The 24,991-nt window shown below is 37.3% G+C and overlaps 1 annotated feature.

Annotated features, from left to right (window-relative positions):
• Positions 23,796–24,297: an enhancer, noted in NCBI's record as "H3K4me1 hESC enhancer chr15:46437799-46438300 (GRCh37/hg19 assembly coordinates)". NCBI's record gives its function as "activates a minimal SCP1, AML or CMV promoter by ChIP-STARR-seq in primed H9 embryonic stem cells {active_cell/tissue: H9 hESC(primed)}" and the evidence as "EXISTENCE:reporter gene assay evidence [ECO:0000049][PMID:30033119]".

Below are 24,991 nucleotides of genomic sequence, written 5' to 3' on the forward strand. Positions count from 1 at the left end.
TGTGTCTGTGATTAGCATTTGAATCAGTAGACTGAGTTAAAAGGGTCTGCCCTTACCAATGGAGGCAGGCATCATCCAACAAGTAAAGGCAGATTTTCTCTCTTTTCTGGAGCTGAGACATTCATTTTCTCTTAAAGCTCCCATGGTTCTCAGGCCTTCAGACTCCATGAGTTACACCAATGCTTCCTTTTGGCTTTGAACTGAGAGTTACACCACTGGCTTCCCTGGCTCTCAGCCCTTCAAACATGGACGGATCTATACCACTGGCTTTCCTGGTTCTGCTCCTTACAGATGACATAGCAAGGGATTTCTTGACTTCTAAAACTGTGTGTGCCAATTCCCATAATAAATTCTCTCTTATATCTGTATATAGTCTATTCTGTTTCTTGAGAGAACCCTAATATGCACATTTTCTTTATCCATTCATCTGCAGATTACAGATGAATATTTAGATTGTTTCCATATCTTGGCTATTGTGAATAGTGCTGCAATCAACAAGGGACTGCAGGTATCACTTTGCCTCTTTGAGATACTGATCTTACTTCATTTGGATAAATACACAGAAGTGGAACTGATGGATCATAGGGTTGTTCTGTTTTTAGTTTTTTGAGGAACCTCCATACTGTTTTCATAGTGGCTATACTAATTTACATTCCCACCAACAGTGTACAAAGATTCCTTTTTCTCCACATCCTTGCCAACATTTGTCTTTTGTTTTTTGATAATAGCCATCTGAACAGGTATGAGCTGATACCTCATTGTGGTTTCAATTTGCAATTCTCTGATGGTTAGAGATGTTGAACTTTTTTTTTTCTCATAAATCTGTTGGCCATTTGTATGTCTCCTTAGAAATAATGTCTATTCAGGTTTTTTTGTCTTTATTTAAAATTGGGTTATTTTATTTTGTTTTTTGCCATTGAGTTACAGAATTTCCATATTTTTTGGATATTAACCCCTTATGAAATGTATGGTTTGTCAATATTTTCTTCCACTCTGTCGATATTCTCTTTATTAATTGTTTCCTTTGTTGTGAAGAAGCTTCTGGTTGGATGCAATTCATTTCTCTTTTTTTTACTTTTGTTGCCCGTGCTTTTGGAGTCATATGAAGAAAGCTGTTGCCCAGATCAATGTCAAGAAACTTTCCTTCTGTGTTTTTTTTTATTAGTTTCACAGTTTTAGATCTTACTTTAAAGTTTTTAACCTATCTTGAGTTGATTTTTGTATAAAGTATAAGATAAATGTCCAACTTTATTCATCTGGGTGCAGATATCCAGCTTTCCTAACATCATTTATTGAAGAAACTATAAATTTCCCATTGTGTGTTCTTGGCACTTTTGTTGAAGATCAATTGACTGTAAATGTGTGAATTGATTTCTGTGCTGTCTATTCTGTTCCGTTGGTTCATGTGTCTGTTTCTACGCAAATACCATACAGTTTTGATTACTAGAGCTTTGTAGTATATTTTGAAATTAGGTAGTATAATGTTTCCAGCTTTCTTTTCTTGCTCAAAATGACCTTAGCTATTCTGGGATCTTTTGAGGTTCCCCATGAATTTTAGGATTCTTTTTTTCTATCCTTTTTCTAAGGGTTGCGTTCAATCTGTAGATCACTTTGGATTGTATGAACACTTTAACAATAATAATCCTTAAAATCAATGAACACTGGCTAGCTTTCTATTTATCTGTCTCTCCTTTAATTAAAAAAAAAGTCAAAACTTTTCAGTACACAGATCTTTCACTTCCTTGGCTAAATTTGTTCCTATATATTTTTTATGATATTGGAAATGAGGTTGTTTTCTTAATTTATTTTTTGAATAGTTTGTGGTTATTATATACAAATGCTACTAATATTTTATGTTGATTTTTATCTTGTATCTTTATTTGGTTTTGTTATTGCTCTAACAGTTTTTGATGAAGTCTTTAAAGTTTTCTATATGTAGGATCATGTCATCTGCAAACAGAGATTATTGAATTCTTTCTTTCTAATTTGGATGACTTTTATTTTTCTTGCCTAACTGCTCTGGCTAGTACTTTTAGTACTATGTTGAACATAAGTGGTGAGTAGACATATTTGTCTTATTTTTGATCTTAGGGAGAAAGCTTTTAGCATTTCACTGTTGAATATGATGTAAGTTGTAGGCTTGTCATATATGGCCTTTATTATGTTGAGGTATATTCCATCCATACTGGATTTATTGAGCATTTACCACGAGAGGATATTGGATTTTGTCAAATACTTTTCCTGCATCTATTGAGATGATCATATAATTTTTATCCTTCATTCTCTTAATGTATTACATTTTTCGATTTATGTAGAGTCATACCTTGTTTTATTATGCTTTGTTTTATTGTAGTTTGCTGATTTTTTTCCTTTTCCTTTCTTTCTTTTTTTTTTTTTTTGCATATTGAAGGTTTGTGGAAATCTTGCATCAAGTAAGTCTATTAGCACCGTTTTTTCTAATAGTATGTGCTTACTTTGTGTCTCTCAGTCATATTTTGGGAATTTTCATAATATTTCAAACTTTTTCATTATTATTACATCTGTTATCAGTGATCAGTGATCTTGATATTACTATTATAATAGTTTTGATGTGGCATGAATCGCACCCATAATGCCCGTATAAGACAGCAAACTTAATTGGTAAGTGTTGTATGTGTTCTAAATGTTACACTGACCAGATGTTCCCCTGTCTCTCCTCTCTTTATTCCCTGAGACACAAAAATATTGAAATTGGTCTAATTAAAAACCTTACAATGGCCTCTAAGTGTTCAAGTGAAAGGAAGAGTTGTACATCTTTCACTTTAAAAGCTAGAAATGATTAAGTTTAGTGAAGAAGGCATGTTGAAAGCCAAGACAGGCCAAAAGCAGGCCTCTTGTTTCAAACAGCTAAGTTGTGAAAGCAAAGGAAAATTTCTTGAAAGAAATTAAAATTTTCTTTTAATTTTAATTTAAATTAAAAATGTTTAATTTTTAAAAAATTTTTTAAATTTAAATTTAAAATTTTTAAATTTAATTAATTTAAAAAAGTAAATTTCAATTTCTTTCATGTGAAAAGCAGTGTGGTGATTCCTCAAATAAGTTAAAACATAATTCCTATTCAACCCAGCAATCCTATTATTGGGTATATACTCAAAAGAATATAAATCACTCTATCATAAAGACACACGCACATGTGTGTTTATTACAGCATGGTTCACACTAGCAAAGACAGGGAATCAACTTAAATTCTTATCCATGGTAGACTAGATAAAGAAAATGTGCATATACATCACAAAATACTATGCAGCCATAAAAAAGAATGAGATAATGTCCTTTGCAGCAACATGGATGGAGCCAGAGGCCATTATCCTAAGCAAGCTAATGCAGGAACAGAAAACCAAATACTGCATATTCTCACTTATCAGTGGGAGCTAACCAATGAGAACACATGGACACAAAGAGAGAAGCAATAGACACTGGGACCTACCTCAGGATGGAGGGTGGGAGGAGGGATGGGATCAGAAAAAATACCTGTTGGGTACTATGCTTATTACCAGGGTGATGAAATAATCTATATACCAAACACTAATGATACAAGTTGATTTATATAACAAAAGTGCACATGTCCCCCTGAACCTAAAAGTTATAATAAAGAAACTGAAAGTGCTCCTCCAGTGAATACATGAATAATAAGAAAGTAAAACAGCATTATTGCTGATATGAAAAAAGTTTTAATGGTTTGGATAGAACAAACCATTAAGAAAAAACCTAATCCAGAGCAAAGCTGTAACTGTCTTTCTTTTTTTAATTAAAAAAAAATTTTAGTTTCAGGGAGCACATGTGCAGGGTTTTTTAATGGATATATTGCATAATGGTGAGGTTTGCAATTCTAGATACCCATCACCTAAATAGTGAACATAGTACCCAATAGAACAACAAAGCCTAGATGTCGGCTCATCTGTTTACAGCATGGTATACTGAGTATTTTAAGCCCAATGTTGAGATTTACTGTTCAGAAAAAAGATACCTTTCAAAATATTACTACTCATTGGTAATGTAACTGGTCAGCCAAGAACTCTGCTTGAGATGTACAAAAAGATTAATGTTTTCATACTTGCTAACACAACATCCATTCTTCATTCCATGGATCAAGGATTTTGACATTCAAGTCTTGTTATTTAAGAGATACATTCCTTAAGTCTATAACTGGCTTAGACAGTGATATTTCTGATCAATCTGGGCAAAGTAAATTAAAAACCTTTTGGAAAGGATTCACTATTCTAGGTGCTATTAAGAATGTTTATGACCAGGCACAGTGGCTCATTCCTGCAATTTGAGCACTTTGGGAGGCCAAGGTGGGAAGACCGCTTGAGTCCAGAAGTTTGAGACCAACTTAGGTAACTTAGTGGGACTCCATCTCTACAAAAAAATTAAAAAATAGGTCGGGCTTGGTGGCTCACGTCTGTAATCCCAGCACTTTGGGAGGCCAAGGTGGGAGGATCACTTGAGCTCAGGAGTTTGAGAACAGCCTGGCCAACATGGTGAAACCCTGTATCTACTAAAAATACAAAAATTAGCCAGGCCTGGTGGCATGCACTTGTAATCTCAACTACTGGGGAGGATGAGGCATGAGAATTGTTTAAACCCAGGTAAAGGAGGTTGCAGTGAGCCAAGATTGCACCACTCTACTCCAGTCTGGGTGACAGAGCGAGACTTCATCTCAAAAAAAAAAAAAAAATTTTTTTTTTAAATTAGTTGGGTATGGTGGTGTGTGCCTGCAGACCCAGCTACTTGGGATGCTGAGGCGGGAGGTTGATTTGAGTCTGGGAAGTTGAAGCTAGAGAGAGCTGTGTTTATGCCATTGCACTGCAGCCTGGGTGACAGAGTGAGACAGTCTCAGAAAAAAAAAAAAAAAGACATTCATGATTCATGGAAGGAGGTTAAAATATCAACATGAACAAGAAGTTGACTCCAACTCTCATGGAAGACTTTGAAGGGTTTAAGTCTTCAGTGGAGGAAGTGACTGATGATGTGGTGGAAATAGCAAGAAAACTCAAATTAGAAGCGGAGCCTGAAGCTATTACTGGGTTGTTGTAATCTCATGATAAAACTTGAAAAGATGAGGAGTTGAATGAACAAAGTGGTTTTTTGAAATGGAATTTACTCTCGGTGAAGATGATGTGTACAGTCTTTAAATGACAACAAAGAATTTAGGATATTACCTAAACTTAGTTGATAAAGCAGTAGTGGTGTTTGAGAGGGCCGACCCCAATTTTGAAAGAAATTCTTCTATGGGTAAAATATTAATATTATCAAATAGCACTGCAAGCCACAGAGAAATCTCAGATGAAAGAGTCAATCACCGTGGCAAGCTTTATTGTTGTTCTATTTTAAGAAGTTGCTACAGGGCTGGGCATGGTGGCTCAGGCTTGTAATCTCAACATTTTGAGAAACTGAGGAAGGAAGATCACTTGAAGCCTGGAGTTTTAGACCATCCTGGTCATTGTAGGGAGCCCCATCTCTATGAAAATAATTTTAAAAAAATCAGGGCATGGTGGCACGCTCCTGCAGTTCCAGCTACTTGGCAGGCTGAGGTGGGAGGATTACTTGAGCCCAGGAGTTTGAGGTTATAGTGAGCTATGATCACGCCACTATACTCCAGCCTGAGTAACACAGGAAGACCCTATCTCCAAAGAATTAAAACAAGAATATTGCTACAGTCACCCCATTTTTCAGCAACCGTTGTTCTGATTAGTCAGCAGCCATTAACATTGAGGCAAGACCCTCCACCAGCAAAAGATTGTGACTCACTGAAGGCTCAGATGGTTGTTAGCATTTTTTAGCAATAAAGCATTTTTTAAAAGGTATGCACATTTTAAAATATGTTGCTATTGTACACTTAATAGACCACAGTATAGTGTAAATATAACTTTTATATGCACTGGAAAACCAAAAAATTTGTGTGACTCACTTTATGGTGATATTTGCTTTATCATTATGGTCTGAACCTGCAATATCTCTGAGGTATGCCTGTACGTTGAATCATGCTTATGTTGCAAGGACAAGTCCCACTTGATCATGGTGTATGCCCCCTTTAATGTACTGTTGAATTTGATTTCTAGTATCTTGTTGAGAACTTTTTCATCTGTATTCATCAGCGTTAATTTTTTTTTGTGTTGTCCTTGTCTGGGTTTTGTATCAGAGTCATGCTGGCCTTATAAAATGAATTTGAATTTTTTTACCTCCTCTTAATTTTTTTTTTGTATGAGTTTGAGAAGGATTGGCATTACATCTTTCTTTAATATTTGGTATAATTTACCTGTGAAGCCCTCAGGCCCTGGAATTTTATTTATTGAGAGGCTTTTGATTGCTGATTGAATTTTCTTATTAGTTATTGGTCTGTTCAGATTTTCTATTTCTTTATGAGATCTTGATAGGTTGTATGTTCCTAGGAAGTTATCCATTTCCTCTAGGTTATCCAATTTGTTGACATACAACTGTTCATAGTAGTCTCTTTGATCCTTTGTATTTCTGTGATGTCAATCGTAATGTCCCCTCTTTTATTTACAATTTCACTTATTTGAATATTTTCTCCTTTTTCTTAGTCTTGCTAAAAATTGTCAACTTTATCTTTTTTAAAAATCCCAGTCTTAATTTTCATTTATTATTTCTATTGTTTTTTCTAGTCTCTTTATTTCATTTATTTCTCCCATTTTCTTTTTTACATTTTAGAATTTTATTTTAATGTCATGAAATGCTAGTATTAATAAGATATAGCGTAAGAATGTTCACACAATTTTAAAACAAGTGAGGCAGAATATTTAATACTTTTTTCCATAATGTGAAAAGTATTTGCTGGAAATGCATCTTATTTTTTTTTTCAACTTTTATTTTAGGTTCAAGGGGTAGATATGTGGGTTTGTTATATGGGTAAATCATGTGTTGCAGGGGTTTGGTATACACATTATTTTGTCACCCAGGTAATAAGTATAGTACCCAATAGGTAGTTTTTTGATTCTCATCCTCCTCTCACCCTCCACCCTCAAATAGGCCCTGGCGCCTATTGTTCACTTGTGTATGTCTATGTGTACTATGTTTAGCTTCCGTTTATAAATGAGAACATGTAGTATTTGGTTTTCTGTTCCTGTGTTAATTTGCTTTGGATAATGGCCTCCAGCTCCACCAATGTTGCTGCAAAGAATATGATATCATTCTTTTTTACAGCTGTGTAATAGTCTTTATCCAGAATACTGGAGGTATATGTGTCACATTTTCTTTATCCAGTTCACCACTGATGGGCATTTAGGTTTATTTTATGTCTTTGCTACTGTGAGTAGTGCTGTGATGAACATACATGTACATGTGTCTTATGGTAGAATGACTTATATTCCTTTGAGTATATACCCACTGATGAGATTGCTGGGTCAAATCATAGTTTTGTTTTAAGCTCTTTGAGAAATCTCCACACTGTTTCCTTTAGTGACTGAACTGGTTTACATTCCCACCAGCAGTGTATAAGCATTCCTTTTTCTCTGAAACCTCACTAGCATGGGTTTTTTTTTATTTTTTAATAATAGCCCTTCTGACTGGTATGAAATGGTATCTCATTGTGGTTTTAATTTGCATTTCCCTAATGATTACTGACACTGAACATTTTTTCATATGCTCAGTGGCTATACATATGTCTTGAGAAGTGTTTGTTCATGTCCTTTGCCCATTTTTTAGTGGGGTGTTTTAGTTTTTGCTTGTTGATTCGTTTAAATTCCTTATAGATTCTAGATATGAGACTTTTGCTACATATATACTTTGCAAATATTTTCTCCCATTCTTTAGGCTATTTACTCTGTTGTTAGTTTCTTTTGCTGTGCACAAGCTCTTTAGATTAATTAGGTCCCACTTGTCAACTTTTGTTTTTTTTGCAATTGCTTTTGGTGTATTTGTCATGAAATCTCTGCCGGGCCTTATATTCAGAAAGGCATTTCCTGTGTTATCTTCTAGAGGTTTTTGTAGTTTTAGGTTTTACATTTAAGTCTTTAATCCATTTTGAGTTGACTTTTATATGTGGTGAAAGGTAAACATCCAATTTCAATCTTTTGCATATGGTTAGCCAGTTATCCCAGCACTATTTATTGAATAGGGAGTCCTTTCACCATTGCTTTTTTTGTTGACTTTGTTGAAGATCAGATGGTTGTAGGTGTGTGGCTTGATTTCTGGGTTCTCTAACCTGTTCCATTAGTCTATGTGTCTGTTTTTGTACGAGTATCATGCTGTTTTGGCTATTGTAGCCTTATGGTATAGTTGAATTGGATTGTGTGATAACTCTGGGTTCATTCTTTTTGCTTAGGATGGCTTTAGCTATTTGGGCTTTATTTTTTTGGTTCCACATAAATCGTAGTATAGTTTTTTATAATTCTGTGAAGAATGTCACTGGTAGTTTGACAGGAATAGCATTGAATCTGTAAATTGCTTTTGGCAATATGGCCATTTTAATATTGATTCATGCTAACCATGAGCATAGAATATTTTTCCATTTGTTTGTGTCATCTCTGACTTATTTCAGCAGTGTTTTCTCATCTTATGGTAGAGACCTTTCACCTCCCTGGTTAGCTGTATCCCTAGGTATTTTAATTTTTTTGTGAATATTTTGAATGCCATTGTGTTTTTGACTTGGCTGTCAGCTTGGATGTAAAATGCTACTGATTTTTGTACATTGATTTTGTGTCCTGAAACCTTGCTGAAGTTGTTTATCACATCTAGGAGTTTTTGGGCAAAGATTCTATGCCACTCGGTGTCTTTTAAGTGGGCTGTTCAGCCCATTTATATTCAAGATTAATATGGATATCTGTGGATTTAGTCCTGTCATCATATTGTTAGCTGGTTATTATGCAGACTTGATGTGTAGCTGCTTTACATTGTCAATGGTTATGTATTTAAGTGTGTTTTTGTGGTGGCTGGTAATGCTCTTTCATTTGTATGTTTAGCACTCCCTTAAGGACTTCTTATAAGGCAAGTCTAGTGGTCACAAATTCCCTTAGCATTTGCTTGTCCAAAAAGGATCTGACTTCTCCTTCACTTATCAAGCTTAGTTTGGCTGAATGTGAAATTCCTCGTTGGAGTTTCTTTTTTTTTTTACAATGCTGAATATAGGCCCCCAATCTCTTCTAGCATGCAAGGTTTCTTTTGAAAGGTTTGTTGTTAGTCTGATGGGATTTGTAGGTGACATGCCCCTTCCCTGTACCTACCTTTAATAGCTTTTGTTTCATGTTGTCCTTGGAGAATCTGATGACTGTGTATCAGGGAAAGTTGTCTTGTATAGTATTTCATAGAGGTTCTCTGCATTTCCTGAATTTGAATGTCAATCTTTCTTGTGAGGTAGAGGAGATTTTCCTGTACAGTATCCTCAAATATGACTTCCAAGTTGCTTTCTCTTTCTGGGACAGAAATAAGTCATATGTTTGGTCTCTACATTATCCCATATTTCTCAGAGGTTATAGTTCATTTCGTTTCTTTTTTTTTTTTACTTTTGTCTGACTGAGTTGATTTGAAGAGCCTGTTTTCAAGCTCTGAGATTCTTCTGTCGGCTTGGTCTTCTCTGTTAATACTTCTGATTGTATTATGAAATTCTTGTAGTGTGTTTTTCAGCTCTATGAATTTTGTTCGGTTCTTTTTTGAAATAGCTATTTCTTCTTTCAGCTCTTGTATCATTTTAGTGGATTATTTTGAATCTTTGGATTGGGTTTTAACATTCTCCTAAATCTCAACGATCTTCATGCCTATCCAGATTCTGAATTCTGTGTCTTTTTTGTTTTGTTTTGTTTTGTTTTCAGGCATTTCAGCCTGGTTAAGAACAATTGCTGGGGTGCTAGTGCACTTATTTGGAGGTAAGAAGACACTCTTTGAGTTGCCAGAGTTCTTGTGCTGGTTCTTTCTCTTTGGGCTATGTTCCTGGAATGTTTGAAGTTTCTGTCCTTTGTAAGGGTTTTTTTGCTTGTAGTCTTTGATGCCCTTGAGGGTTTAACTGGGAAAATACAGGTTCAATCAACTAACCCTTTCTGGAAGATTTCAGGGGGCTAAGGCTCATGTCAACATTCCTGATCTGCGTGCTTTAACCTGAGGGGCTGGTACCAGGCCCATGGCTTTGTTCTCAGACCCCTCAAGTTACCAGCTGCCACACTGGAAGGCATGAGGTGTTCCTGTTCTGCTGACAACACTTCGATGAGGGGTGCCAGCCAAAGTGCTTTGGTGGGGCAGTGGCCATGGGGTCTGCGCTTGCACATGCCAGCAGTGGCACTGTGTGGTGGAATGCATGCATGTTGGCGGGTGCAGGGCATTGATGGGGGCAGGGTAGGGTTGATGTTGCATGCATGTGTGCACCAGTCTGTGCAGTGGTAGAGCGGGCAGCATGTGTTCTCCTGAGGGGATATGGTGGTGGCATCTGCATTGAGGTGAAGTGACATCTGCACATTCGAGTGTGCCAGAAGTAGTAGCAGCATGGTGGAGCATTTGTGTGTTAGCTGGGGCAGGGCACAGATGTGGTTGGGTTGAGGTTTCCATGTGTGAATGAGACAGCAATGTCTGCATTGCAGGCATGTGCTGGCAGCAAGCTATTCCCATTGGAGGGGGAAGGGCAGCAGGGTGCCTGTGTGCCAGTGGGGATTCGTTGGTGGCATCTGTACATGAGCACTGATGCTGACAGCAATGGCATGGTGGGGTGTGCATACACATGTTCCAGTGGAGCAGTGGTGAGGTCCGCCTATGTGTGCATGTGTGTTGGTAAAGTGGTAGAAGCTTGTCAGCTGGAGCTCCCTGAAGGTCAGGTGTGGTATGCCTGTGAAGGAGTTATGGCTGTGGCATCCAGACAGTACCCTGGTTGGGTGTCCAAGGCTGCACTGGAAGCAGACATGGCCAGGCAGGGACCCTGGGAGAGGCTGGCACACAGGGTGATGCTCAGGTCAGACTGGCCCCATCCCAGGGGCAAGACTGCCCTGCTCTGTCCAGATTTGACGTCAACAAAGGCCAAAGCCACCTAGAGAAGTGTGGTGAGCCTTGGGGCATTTGTCCTTTTATTATTGTCCTCCTTTTGCTGATTTGGGGCTTCTTTTGTTCTTTTTTTTTTTTTTTTCTTTTTGAGACAGGGTCTCACACTGTTACCCAGGTTGGAGTGCAGTGGCATGGTCTTAGCTCACTGCAACCTCTGCTTCCTGGGCACAAGTGATCCTCTCACCTCAGCCTCCCTAGTGGCTGAGACTACAGGTGTGCGCCACTATGCCTGGCTAATTTTTTATTTTTATTTTAATTTTTGGAGAAAGGGTTTTGTCTTATTGTCCAGAATGGTCTTGACTTCTGGTCTCAAGTGAGTCACACGCCTTGGCCTCCCAAAATGCTGGAATTGCAGGCGGGAGCCACTGTGCCTGGCCCTTTTTCTAGTTCTTTTAAGGGTACAGTTAGGTTGTTTATTCGGGGACTTTTCTTCTTAATGTAGGCATCTATTTCTACATTATAAACTTACCTCTTAGAACTACTTTTGTTGCATTCTATAAGTTTGGGTAGGTTATGTGTTCATTTTAGTTTATCTCAAGATACTTTCTGATTTTCCTTTTCATTTCTTCATTGACCTATTGGTTGTTCAGGAATGTGTTGTTTAATTTCCACATATTTGTCTATTTTTTTTTTTTTTTTGAGACAGGGTTTCACTCCTGTTGTCCAGGCTGGAGTGCAGTGGTGTGATCTTGGCTCACTGCAACCTCCACCTCCCAGGTTCAAGTGAGTCTCCTGCCTCAGCCTCTGGAGCAGCTGGGATTACAGGCACCTGCCACCACACCTGGCTGATTTTTGTATTTTTAGTAGAGGCGGGGTATCACCACGTTGGCCAGGCTGGTCTTGAACTCCTGACCTCAGGGGATCCACCTGCCTTGGCCTCCCAAAGGGCTGGGATTACAGGTGTGAGCCACCACACCTGGCCTATATTTGTGAATTTTTGAATTATCATCCTGTTACTGATTTCTAGTTTTATATCACTGTGGTCAGAAAAAATACTTGATATATAATTATTCTTGTTAAATGTAGTAAGACTTGGTTTGTAGCCCAACGTATATCTATCTTGAAGAATGTTCTGTGTGCATTTGAGGAAAATGTGTATTCTTCTGCTGTTGGATGGAATATTCTGTGTATGTCTTCTAGGTTACTTTCATCTATAGGGTTGTTCAAGTCTGATGTTTCCTTATTTTCTGTCTGGATGATCTCTCTGTTGCTGAAAGTGAAATTATCCTACTATTATTGTATTGCTATCTGTTTCTCCCTTCAGTTAAAACTGTCAATATTTGCTTTATAAATTAGGTGCTCCAATGTTGGGTGCATATATATTTAGAATTGTTATATCCTCTTGATGAATTAACTTTTTATGGTTATATAATGACCTTCTTTGTGTCTTATGACAATTTCGGACTTAATGTCTATTTTGTCTGATGTAAGTACAACCATCTCTGCTCCCTTTTAGTTATTTGCATGGAATATCTCTTTCCATTCATTCAGACTATGCATTTCTTAAAGCTAAAATGAGTCTCTTGGAGACAGCAGATTATTAGACCTTGTTTTTTCTATTTTTTCAGCCACTCTATGACTTTTATTAGAGAATTTAACCATTTACATTTAAAGAAATATTAATAGGTAAGGAGTTATTGCCATTCTGCTCATTGTTTTGTGGCTAATTTGTAGTTCCTTTCTTTTGCTTTTGCTGTCTTTTTTTTGTTATTCAATGTTTTTTTTTAGTGGTATGCTTTGATTTCTATTTTTTTTTTTGTACATCTGTTACAGGTTTTTCCTTTGCGATTAATGTGAGGCTTACATAAAACAAATTATAGTTGCAACAGTCTATTTTAAGCTGATAATAATTTAATTTTTGCTCACTCACAGAAACTCTATTCTTATCTCCAGCATGTTTTATGTTATTCATGTCACAAGTTATATCTTTTATATATCAGGTATACATTAACAAATCATTATAGCTATAGTTATTTTTAATGCTTTAAAATATTTTAAACTAATATTAAAAGTTATTTACACATTGCCATTGCAGTATAAGAGTATTCTGGATTTGTCTATACCCCTGCCATTACCAGTGAGTTTTATAATTTACTTTTTTTTTTAACTTTATTGGTTCATTTTTCTTTTATTTTTTCTTTTTTGTTGCTTTTAAAATTTACTTTTCATATTGCTAATTAACATTCTTTTGTTTCAGTTTGACAATCTTAGCATTTCTTGTAAGAAAAATCAAATGCTATTGATATACCTTTGTTTTTCTTTTTCTGAGAAAATCTTTATTTCTGAAGGAAAGATTTACTAGATAAAGTGTTTTTGGTTTACAGTTTTTTTGTTTTCTTTTAGCATGAGGAATATGTCATCCTAGGCTTTCTTGGCCTGTGAGCTTTCTGCTGACAAATCTGATGATAGTCTTATGGATGGTCCCTTGTTTGTGATGAACTGCTTTTCTCTTGGTGCTTTCAAAATTGTTCATCATTGGCTTTTCAGAATTTAATTATTGCCTTTTTTCACAATTTATTTACAAAGTCCTGGTGAATGTTCAATGTATTTGCAGTTCTTTGGACTTCATGGACCTGGATGTTCATTTCCATTTTTAAATGCGGGGAGTTTTCTGCCATTCTTTCCTTAAATAAGCTATCTTCTTCTTGGTTTGTTTCATCTGGCAACAAAGCATAATGCATATGTTTGTTTACCTGATGATGTCTTATGGGTTTTATAGCCTTTCTTCACTCTTTTTCACTCTTTTTTCTTTTAGTTCTTCTGACTGGGTAATTTCAAATGTCTTTAAGTTCATTGACTTTCATTCTGCTTGATCAAGTCTGTTAAAGCTCATGGAATTTTTCAGTTTAGTCCTTTTGTTCCTCAGCTTCACAATTTTTGTTTGGTTCCTTTTCATGGTTTCTTTCTCTTTGTTGAAGTTGTCTTTTTGTCTTCCTGATTTTGTTTTGTTGTCTATGTATATCCTCTTGTAGCTCACAAGTTTCTTTAAGATTATTATTTTGAATTCTTTATAGGACAATCTGTAGATCTCCATTGTTTTAAGATCAGTTACTGGTGCTTTATTTTTTTTCCTTTGGTGATATCAAGTATTCCTGCTTATTTTTGATCCTTGTGGCCTTGCATTGCCATCCATACATTTGAAGAAGTAGTCACCTCTTCTAGTCTTTAGACTGGCTTTGGGAGGGAAATCCCTTAACCAGTCAGCCTGCCCAGAGATTTTGGGTGCAGTAGCACCCAGAGATTTTGGGACCCTGGTCAGGCTTGCTTTGGGAAGGAGAGCATGGTTATTATTTCTGTGATCAGGTGACCCTTGTATCTGGGTTCATGGAAGATCACTGGGGTGGGCCTGGTACCTTGGTATGTGCGTGTAGGTCTAGAACATGTGGATGCTGGAGTGGGCCTGAAGCTTGGGGTCCGTGGGGGACAACCTCTTCTGGGACCAGCCTGGCATTGGGGTGCTTGCTCAGGTTTTGATTTTGGTTTCCCCTCATTTCTAAGATCTCTAGTGGAACTATCTGGGTCATAGCTTATTTCCTTTCTGTCTTAGCTTCTATGCATATTCTTATGATGAGATGGAGGAATGATTTGAGAACTGTAGAGGGCCTTAGTGTGTCAAATAGAGGTATTTTGACATAGTCCGGCATGGAGTGCCAGAATAAATGAAACAGCCTCATTTCCTTTGTTTAATTACTGGTTATTCATCTCATTCTTAATAGGTCCCATGAGAAAAACTACCTGAACATGGTCATTATCTTCAAATTTGGTCAGTGTGACATCACTTGACTTAAATTTAAGCAAAGAAACAGCTTTTCCTGTTATGCTACTAATCACCATTTTCTAAATTTCTGCTATATTTAATTTTTAAAAACAGCTTATTAAGACCTCATTATACAATAAACAAACTTTATATATTTTGTGTATGTGATTTAGTAAGTTTTGACAAATATATACACTAGCGAACCTATCACCACAATGAAGATCATAAACATATTCATCATTGCTAAAAGCTTCCTTGTTTCACTTTGCAATCTCTCTATATTAGCTCATTCTCATACTGCTATAAAGAACTGCCCAAGACTGGGTAATTTATAAAGAAAAGAGGTTTAATTGACTCACAGTTCTGCAGGGCTGGGGATGCCTCAGGAAACTTACAATCATGGTGGAAGGGGAAGCAAACAAGTCCTTCTCCACATGGTGGCAGGAAGGAGAAGTGCCAAGCAAAGACAGAAAAGCCCCTTATAAAACCATCAGGTCTCACGATAACTCACTATCATGAGAACAGCATGAGGTTAAAGACCCCATGATTCAATTACCTCCCAGTGGGTCCCTCCCACAAGAAGTGGGGATTATAGAAACTACAATTTAAGATGAGATTTGGGTGGAGACACAGAAAATCATATTACCCTCTTGCACACTGATTTACTCTGTCACTATATATTAACTTGCATTTTCGAGACTAGAATCATACAGTATACACACTTTCAAAAAACTATGTCTTCTATCATTTAGCATAATTATATTGAGATTTATCCATGTTGCTATGTGAATAATTTCCTCATATTGCTAAATAGTATTCACTGTATGGATATACTATAATTGGTTTATCTACTCACCTCTTGTTAAGTATTTGGGTTGGTTCCTAGTTTTGCCTATAAATAAAGCGGATATGAACATTCATGTACAAGTCTTTGTATGGACATATGCTCTCATTTATCTTGGATAAATACCTGTGTTTGGAAAGACTGAATTATGTAGTAAGTGTATGTTTAACTTTTTTTATGAAACTGCCAAATTGTTTACCAAAGCGATTGTGCAATTTTATCTTCCCATGGGCAGTGCATGAGAGAAAAGTTTGCTCCATATACTTGCTAACATTTGGTATAGGTCAAAACTAGAGAGCAAAAATAAGTTGTATTAGTACCCCTCCTTCTTGAGCCCAATTCAGAATATACCATGTCCATTTTGTGAGGTTAGACAAGCTGAGCAACAGTCCATTGTGACTTAATGGGCAAGATATAACCCAGCTCATAACTAATGTGACAGTGACAAATAGTCACTTGGAATTCTGTGATAATGCCTTCCATCTATACCAGGCCCCAGTAAAAGACCAGAAACCATTTTCTGAAGGCATATAATTCTCTTCTCCAGATAATATGACCTTGCTTGCTTCAGAAGCCCAGGTCTTTCCACAAACTGTAAAATAAACCTTTATTATAATAACATTGACACCATCAGATCTGCTGAATTCTCTGACTGAAGGGGTGTAAAGCTGCTTACATCACAGTCTAGACCTGCAAAAGAGCACATTTCTGTTATAGGTCCCACTTAAAACTGGTAGGCATTTTGTCACCAGTTTATAGGCCAGACAAATATCCCTGAAGATATATGCTACCCTCCAAACCCAAAGAGGCAGACCAGACATTGTGCTCCCTTCTTTGTAACAGGTCATGCAAGATGCAGCAATTTATGTTTTGGTTTGGAGATAATCCAGGAACATCATTGACCACTGTATATCACTTAGATACTTTATTAAAATAACAATGTGATAAATCCTGGAAGGGTTCCTCTCTTGCTTTCCAGAGAACATAGTTCTTACCCAAGGCCTTCAGTGTGCCACCTCTTACACATCTTGCCTCATCAGCTTGTTGGCATGATTAAAATGAATCAATGTGATGTTTTTCACATGTTTATATGGCCCAGCTATCTTCTGATTGGATTATGACAGTGAGGGAGAGTTATTATAGTTTATAAATGTATTTTATTGTTCACCTCATGTGAATGAAGTTTTGCTAAGAGCTGTTTTTATATTCTTTCATGAATTAGATAGGGAAAAAACACATTCATGTAATCAATGGCTGCACATAATTTACCCATTAATCTGATGTAGATATTATCTCCAGCACAGCAGCCACAGTTATGGTTTCTACTTGGCTAAGTTTGCAGTAGTATATAGTCATTTTCAAGATTCATTCTTGCCAGGATATAATGAGGCACTCCATAATCTACCATGGCAACTCAGGCATTTCAACTTTACTCAGCATAGGTCATCATTTGCTCTAATGTAAATGCCATTTTAGCAATGAGTTTTCCCTATTCCCTGGGACAGTTGGAAAAGTGCTGAATCCTGTGCACCCAAATCAGTTATGTTTATCTAGTATTATATTCCAGTTTTCTTGATCAGGAACTTTCAAAATCCAATCCTACAGGAACTTCCTTGGCTAGCACATGCTGGCTGATTCTTACCATTCTGTATGGTAATCTCTTTATTTTCTGTGTCACTGGTATTCCCAACCATGTTAAAATGGGATAATACTAATCATATGCTTCTGGAAAGTTTCTGATGGGAGCTGCTATAGCATGTATGGAGGAGGATTACACAGTACTTGACCAAAGTGGGCATGTGGTTGTAGACTAGCTCCATAGGGTGAGTTGCACTGACTCTGAAGGCCCTGAGGGTTTAGGGAAGTCTGCAGGGCCACAATTTTCAGGGGCATCTACCCAGATATACATATCCTATGTGTCACATTTCTAGGTTTTCCCAACCAGGGAACTACCCTTAATAGACCTGCCTTGGCTGAGAGTTGACTCATCTTTGAAGGTCAGCTACCCTAACTATCAAATATTTAGTTTGTTTATCTGCTGTGCCTACTCTGTCACTGCAGGAAAAAATTAGAAAAAGCATCCTCCTGCTCTCATATTTAGACTTTATTTGTTAACTACCTTTATTTTCTCATTATCTCTTTCATTATACATTATATATGTATGTATACATATATGTGTATAGCTAGAAATGAAAGAAAATAAGACTTCAAAAATAATATATATGCACATAAATATATACATACACCTCACACACAAACACATGTGTGTGTGTGTATCTATCAATATACACATATATGAAACTAACTTACAAGTAATAAAAGTTCCAATTAGGGGTAGACACATATGTACCATTAACATGGATATGTTGAATAAAAAAGTAATAGGGCAATTATTGAATAAAAAATTTTCCATGAAATAAAGACTGAACTAAGTTCAACGATTAAAAGGACTCATTAAATTCCAGGATAGATTCATGATAAAATAATCCACTTATGCACATTTTAATAAAACTTTTTTGAACTCCAGTAAAAACTCTCAAAAGCTTCTATGTAGAAAAACCAAGTAACTCACAAAGAGAAAAGAAACAAATGGTAATAGTGTAGATGCAATGTCACTTTCTCCTAGCTTCCAGACTAATAACAGAATATCTTGGCTTCACATAGGAGCCCTGGTTTGCAGTTCTTTTAATTCAGAGAATAAAAGGAGATATAATCTTGGAATTTGGGCATACATTTAATAGATCTGAGAAAAATCTTTGAGAAGAATCTCCAAACCACTGAGCAGAAACAGAGACATAGATGGGGAAAATGCATAGGGGAAACAGTGGCGAATAGTATAACTTGAAATATAATTAAATCTAAATAGATAATAGAATATCTGGGAATATATAATATAAATGCAAAATAAGGACAAACTTAAGTGTAACCATAGACATGAAATTACTAAACTGTTTTAGCAATATCTAAAAGTTGTCATGGGGGGTTGAGGGAGATGGCTATAATAAAAAGGTGAAGTAAAAACATTGAAAATTCTCATGAGAAGAGGCAGCAGCAAAAAAAGGGTAAGGGAAATAAAAAATTCTGTGGGTCTTATTGGGTTTGGGTAATAACTATTTGCTCTGTTATTTCATATTCATATAAACAACTGATTGTGGGGGGAAAATGCTAAGTATTAATGAAATAGAAAAGTATGTAATGAATAGCACATTGATAAAACTAGAAGGATATTAGGAAAAATAATACAAAGAATACGAAGTTGAAAAAACTGTCATTATATTAAATATACCAGACTGAATATATGTTCTCTTTTTCAAAGATAGACTGCCAGACTGGCTTAAGAAAATGAAGCCCAGTTACACATCTTTTAAAAGAAAGACTTAAACTTGGCTAACATGGTGAAACCCTGTCTCTCTTAAAAACAGAAAAAATTAGCCAGGCATGGTGGTGGGCGCCTGTAGTCCCAGCTACTCAGGAGGCTGAGGCAGGAGAATGGCCTGAACTCAGCAGGCGGAGCTTGCAGTGAGCTGAGATTGCGCCACTGCCCTCCAGCCTGGGCGACAGAGAAAGACTCTGTCTCAAAAAAAAAAAAAAAAAAAAAAAAAAAAAGACTTAAACCAAGTGATAAAGGTTAAAAATAAAGGTATGGGCAAAGAGATTAACTAAAAATAAAGCAGTGTTTCCTGCAGCATTTTTCATAATAGCCAAGATATAGAATCAACCTAAGTGTCCAATGATGGATGAATGGTCAAGGAAATGTGATTTATATATTTATATATCTATATCTATATAAAAACACATAGGCACACACACCTATACATTAAATATATATCACATGTTGAATATTTTTAAGTTTTGAAAAAGAAGGAAATCATGTCATTTGTGACAACATGGATAAACTTGGAGGATATTATACTAAGTGAAATAAGCCAGGCACAGGAAGACAAATACTCAATAATTTTGCTTATATGTGAAATACATAAAAGTCAAACTCATAGAAGCAGAGAGTGGAATGGTGGTTGACAGGGGCTGGTGGTGGGGAAATGAAGAGATACTGATCAAATGGTAAAAAGTTTCAGTTATGCAGAATAAATAAGTTCTGGAAATCTAATGTACAGTATAGTGGTTACAGGTAATAATAATCTATTGTATACTTGAAATTTGCTAAGAGAGTAGCACTAAAATTTCCTACTACAAAAAAGTATGTGAGGTGATAGAAATGTTAATTAGTGAAATGATTGCCATAATCAAGCTATATATATACATTCTGCCACATTGTATACTTCATATACAATTTTTATTTGTCTATTATAACTTGAGGAAGCTGTTAAAAAGTAGTGTTGTCAATATTATAATAGCAGTCCCTAAGACAAAATACATTAAGTTATAGCATGGTTATGAAGTCATAAGCCCATATTATAAACATGTATACATATAAAGCGAAGAATTATTAGAAACGGAAGATGTTGATACGAATGTAGTAGAAGACCTCCTATATATCCCATAATTGAACAGATCTGGAATACAGTAAAGACATAGAAATGAGATTGAGTTTTGTAACTATTCCAAGGATGTGACATAACAATATGTATCATTTGAAGACTGTTTCTCATAATTAAATTTACCTTATTCTTGGCTACACATCAAGCCAGGAGATAACCCAATAAATCTTGTTTACCTTTTACTTCAAATCTATTTGGAGAGAAATAATATGCCTATTCATTCTTTTTTTATTTTTTATTTTTTATTATACTTTAAGTTCTGGGGTACATGTGCACAACATGCAGGTTTGTTACATAGGTATACCTGTGCCATGTTGGTTTGCTGCACCCATCAACTCATCATTTACATTAGGTATTTCTCCTAATGTTATCCCTCCCTCAGTCCCCCACCCCACAACAGGCCTCAGTGTGGGATGTTCCCCTCCCTGTGTCCATGTGTTCATTGTTCAACTCCCACTTATGAGTGAGAACATGTGGTATTTGGTTTTCCGTCCTTGTGATAGTTTGCTGAGAATGATGGTTTCCAGCTTCATCTATGCCCTGCAAAGGACATGAACTCATCGTTTTTTATGGGTGCATAGTATTCCATGATGTATATGTGCCACATTTTCTTTATCCAGTCTATTATTAATGGACATTTGGGTTGGTTCCAAGTCTTTGCTATTGTGAATAGTGTCGCAGTAACCATGAGTGTGCATGGCTCTTTATAGTAGAATGATTTATAATCCTTTGGGTATATACCTAGTAATGGGATCGCTGGGTCAAATGGTATTTCTAGTTCTAGACCCTTGAGGAATCGCCACACTGTCTTCCACAGTGGTTGAACTAATTTACACTCCACCAACAGTGTAAAAGCGTTCCTATTTCTCCACATCTTCTCCAGCGTCCGTTGTTTCCTGACTTTTTAATGATTGCATTCTAACTGGCGTGAGATGGTATCTCATTGTGGTTTTGATTTGCATTTCTCTGATGACCAGTGATGAGCATTTTTTCATGTGTTTATTGGCTGCATAAATGTCTTCTTTTGAGAAGTGTCTGTTCATAACCTTTGCCCACTTCATTCTTGGTAGGAAGTCCTCCAATCTTGTCTGAGTCTTTGCCTTAATTTTACAGTTGGTATAATCAGCAGCAATAACCAGATAAAACATGCTATGGACCTTGGGTGAGACTCTGAGGTGGGCTGGCCTCAGTGTAACTCAGTGTATTCACAGCTGTGGTGCCTATGAAGAGAAACTCCCTGCAAATGTTGCCAGGACTTGGGGATATATAAGGTCAGAAGAAAGAAGGGGACACCTTCTTTTCTGTCCTTCATGTACCCCCAGGTATTCACTGGAAAAAGAAAGAAACAAAGGGTTGCCTTTTGCTGTCTTTGCAAACGGGTAACCAATCATCCTCTGCCTGCACTCCTCTTGAGTGCATCCTGAATCACTGGAACATTTTTGACCGTCAGACATACCCAATCTCTTGAGGAAGGACTTTTCTTTGTCTGTTCCCCCTTCACAGGACTCCAGGACTCCGGGGTTGATGGGGCTCCATAGCTCAGGGGAAGGGAACCCAGAAGCCTGACATGAAGTTTTTCCCAGTCGGACTTCTGGCTTCTCTCTGTGCAAACTGGTTGTAGGAATGATAAAAATTCACTGTGTTCTCTGCCCCTCCATAAGTTCAAAAGCCAGAGGTATTGGCCATTTGGTATGGCTAAGGTTGGGTAACAAGAGATTTAAAAGGACTCCTTAAAAAAGAGTGCTATGATTAAAAGTCAGCTTAATTAAAGGTAAATACCCAAGCTATAGGTATATTTAAAAAGCCTTTATGTCTATTAGCGGTTCTTGTTTTTCTGGTATTTTTCTTCTCGGTTGACTGAATTATTTTTCTCCATTTTGTCTTGCCACTCTTAATGCACACATGAGAAGGCCCCATGATAACTTCTGATGGTCTGGGACTCCTTGGGAAAAACAGAAGGCACCACTGACCCCATTTTGGGAAAAACCTCTGTTTTCCTCATGGAACCCCAAGAATTAGGGGCAATGGATCCCTCTCAAAATCTGTTTTTGTCTTCCAGCTACGCCTGCTTATTAGGCCCTAGAAACTGCATGTTTTCCTAGCCTGTTTCTTGAGGGGCTCCACTCTGAGGCCAGTAATCCAATTAAGAGATTGGCAAATGAAACAACTTACAAGTACTGATCTACTTCTGTCTGTCTGTGTAGTTATATACATGTTGTGTGGTCTTTATATAAAAAGAGACCTCTAATTGATTGGCTTAAAGAAAAGAAATCACTTAGATCAAATATTTTTAAAGAAAAACAAAGCTGTAATGCCTTTTAGTTCATATGACTTTAATCTTTGAGAAATAAAAACAGCTTCAAAGATTATTGGTAAAATAAAAATGTCTTCAAAATGTAAATGTAGTCTAAATTACACAGGTCAAAAACCAGGTTTGTTAAATGCTTTAAGATCATAAACTGCTTCTTTAGCTTTTGAAAATTGTTTGACTTGCCTGCTTTACAGTTTGGCAAGGCCTAGGGATGTAGGAGTTAACCACGCCCCTAGCTATGCTGAAAAGAATCAGACCTTATCCACACCTAGTACCTAACTAAAATACCTTATCAGGTTTTACACCAGAATTAAAAATTGCTAAGAGTTAACATTATAACATGTAATTGAGATGACTGAAAATAGATTGACCTGGAAGGTGTGTAAGGAAAGTAAATGTGTATTTAGTAAAACATAAGAAAATTTTTGCTTAGATGGTTAAAGAATTGTCTTAAATTATATAAGATAAAGCCAAAAGTTTAAACAAGTAGTGGAAGGTTTGTAAAAGTTAGTCTTGTAAAAAAAAAAAAAAAATACTGTGTGTGAACATATTGACTAAATTCAAAAGGGTATTATTTGGTTTTTCCATAAATTAAACATTGGGAATAAAAGTACAGCAAGGGTTTCTTAAGTCACTGATCTGTTATTTAATAATACCAAGTGTTTTAAAACTTTAACATATTTGATAGGCTTCCTAAAATCAAATTTCAGTCTCAAAATTGTCTTTTCTGACCCCTAACTTTGGGATGCTACAGAGGGCCCCTGGAGCATCCAAAAGAGAGGTAAACAGGATTATTTGACATGTTTAGTTTCATGGGATTGTCAAAATAAAAAAGGTTTAATCTTCAGGCTATATTTTAGTGAATAATATCTATATATTCCAAAATTGTATGGGACTTCTAAAATTCAAATTTCTGAGTATATGCTATCAATCATAATTAGGGTTATTATGTTGTTGTAAACCACAGAAATAACTGAATTTCTTTGTCAGTCATGTTTTTGAGTGTGACTACCTAAGACATTTTGTCATTCACAGACAATTGTTGTCTTGTTTTGATCCTCTTCAAAATATAGTTTATAATCAGCTATAGAATTTTGACAGGTGCTCATTAGTTGTTTTAATGTTTTGGACTGCATTTTAGACTAACCCTGCTTATTCCTGTGAACCAACCAGTGATTTCTGACTGAAGCTCAGAAGACAGAAAGGGATGGGTAATGTCAAAATCTGGAACAATATTCTGATTCTGGGCATGTTGGCAGCTTCAGGATTTTTGAGCTGTCCTTACCCCCTTGTTTCATTTTGATCCATGTCTTCTAATAACTTGGTTTGTCTCTTCTTGCCTTCAGACCGTCAAACTCCAAATGGTGTTGCAAATGGTACCTCACACGATGGCTCCCTTTTACTGGAGACCTGTAGATAAGCCTCTGAGGGAAGATCTGACTGATATTTTCCCCCCAACAAAACAATGCTCCTTTGTCAGCATAAAGCAGTTAAGACCAGTCATCATCCCTATCCTAATGGAAGTTAGATGAACCTCCTCAGAGGTGGGATTAATGGCAGCAGTGGCCCATCTGGAGTGGCTGCTGCCATGATACCAGCTGCAGTCAGGGAGGCATGGCTGGGGCTGCACACTCCATGGACCCAGCAGGAGCTGCAAACAAGCAGAAGCCCCATCCCCTTCTAAGTTGGAGGGGCAGGAGCCCTGCCCTCCAGGATGCAGCTACAGCTGCCCAGCTGCAGCTGTAGACCCAGGCATCTCTGCACTCTTGGGAGCCTGGGAATTCCCCCTGTCACCACAGACTCAGAAATGTCTGCTCCCGCTGCCTGGCCTCTCCCAACTCCTGGTGCCAACTCTGATTTTGGAGTAAAGTGGCTGAGCCTGGGTGCTGTCACGACTTGGCCAGGTGTGTGCACACTCAGGGCAGTGCTGACATACAAGTCCCCTGACACCATGGCCCCCTCCAGATGTTGGGTGCTGACAAGCATGGCAGGGAGGTTGAGGTGGGGGTTGAGGGCAGCTTAGCATGGGCCTGCAGGCACCCCTCAGCACAAACAGCCTGGGTGCAATGGGCACCGTGGATGACAGGTTAATGGCAGCAGGAGGCAGACAGGCTCCTGGGCAAAAAGGGCCAGGTCCTCAGTGAAACCTCACCTTCAGGCCAGGGATGGCCTCAGGCCTGGGGGCTGTGCTGCCAATTCCATGGACCAGAGTGAGAACTTACAGTTCTTTTTTCAGGTCCACCCATGGTTGCCCATGAACCAATTAGCACACTCTTCCTCCCCTCTGAAGCCCATAAAAACCCCAGACTCAGCCAGACACAGGCAGATGATATTATGATCTGCCTGCAGAGAAGAGCTACCCACTGTGGGTCTCCTCTCTGTTGAGAGCTGAGCAGATGACAGGATGATCTACCTGCAGAGAGGAGATACCCACTGTAGGTCTCCCTTGAGCTGTTTTGTAGCTCAATAAAGCACCTCTTCACCTTGTTCTCCCTCCACTTATCCACTACCTCTTTCTTCCTGGATGCTAGAGAAGAACTTGGGACCTGCTGAATGACAGG

This window comes from Homo sapiens, chromosome 15, assembly GCF_000001405.40.
Source record: "Homo sapiens chromosome 15, GRCh38.p14 Primary Assembly".
NCBI lineage: Eukaryota > Metazoa > Chordata > Mammalia > Primates > Hominidae > Homo > Homo sapiens.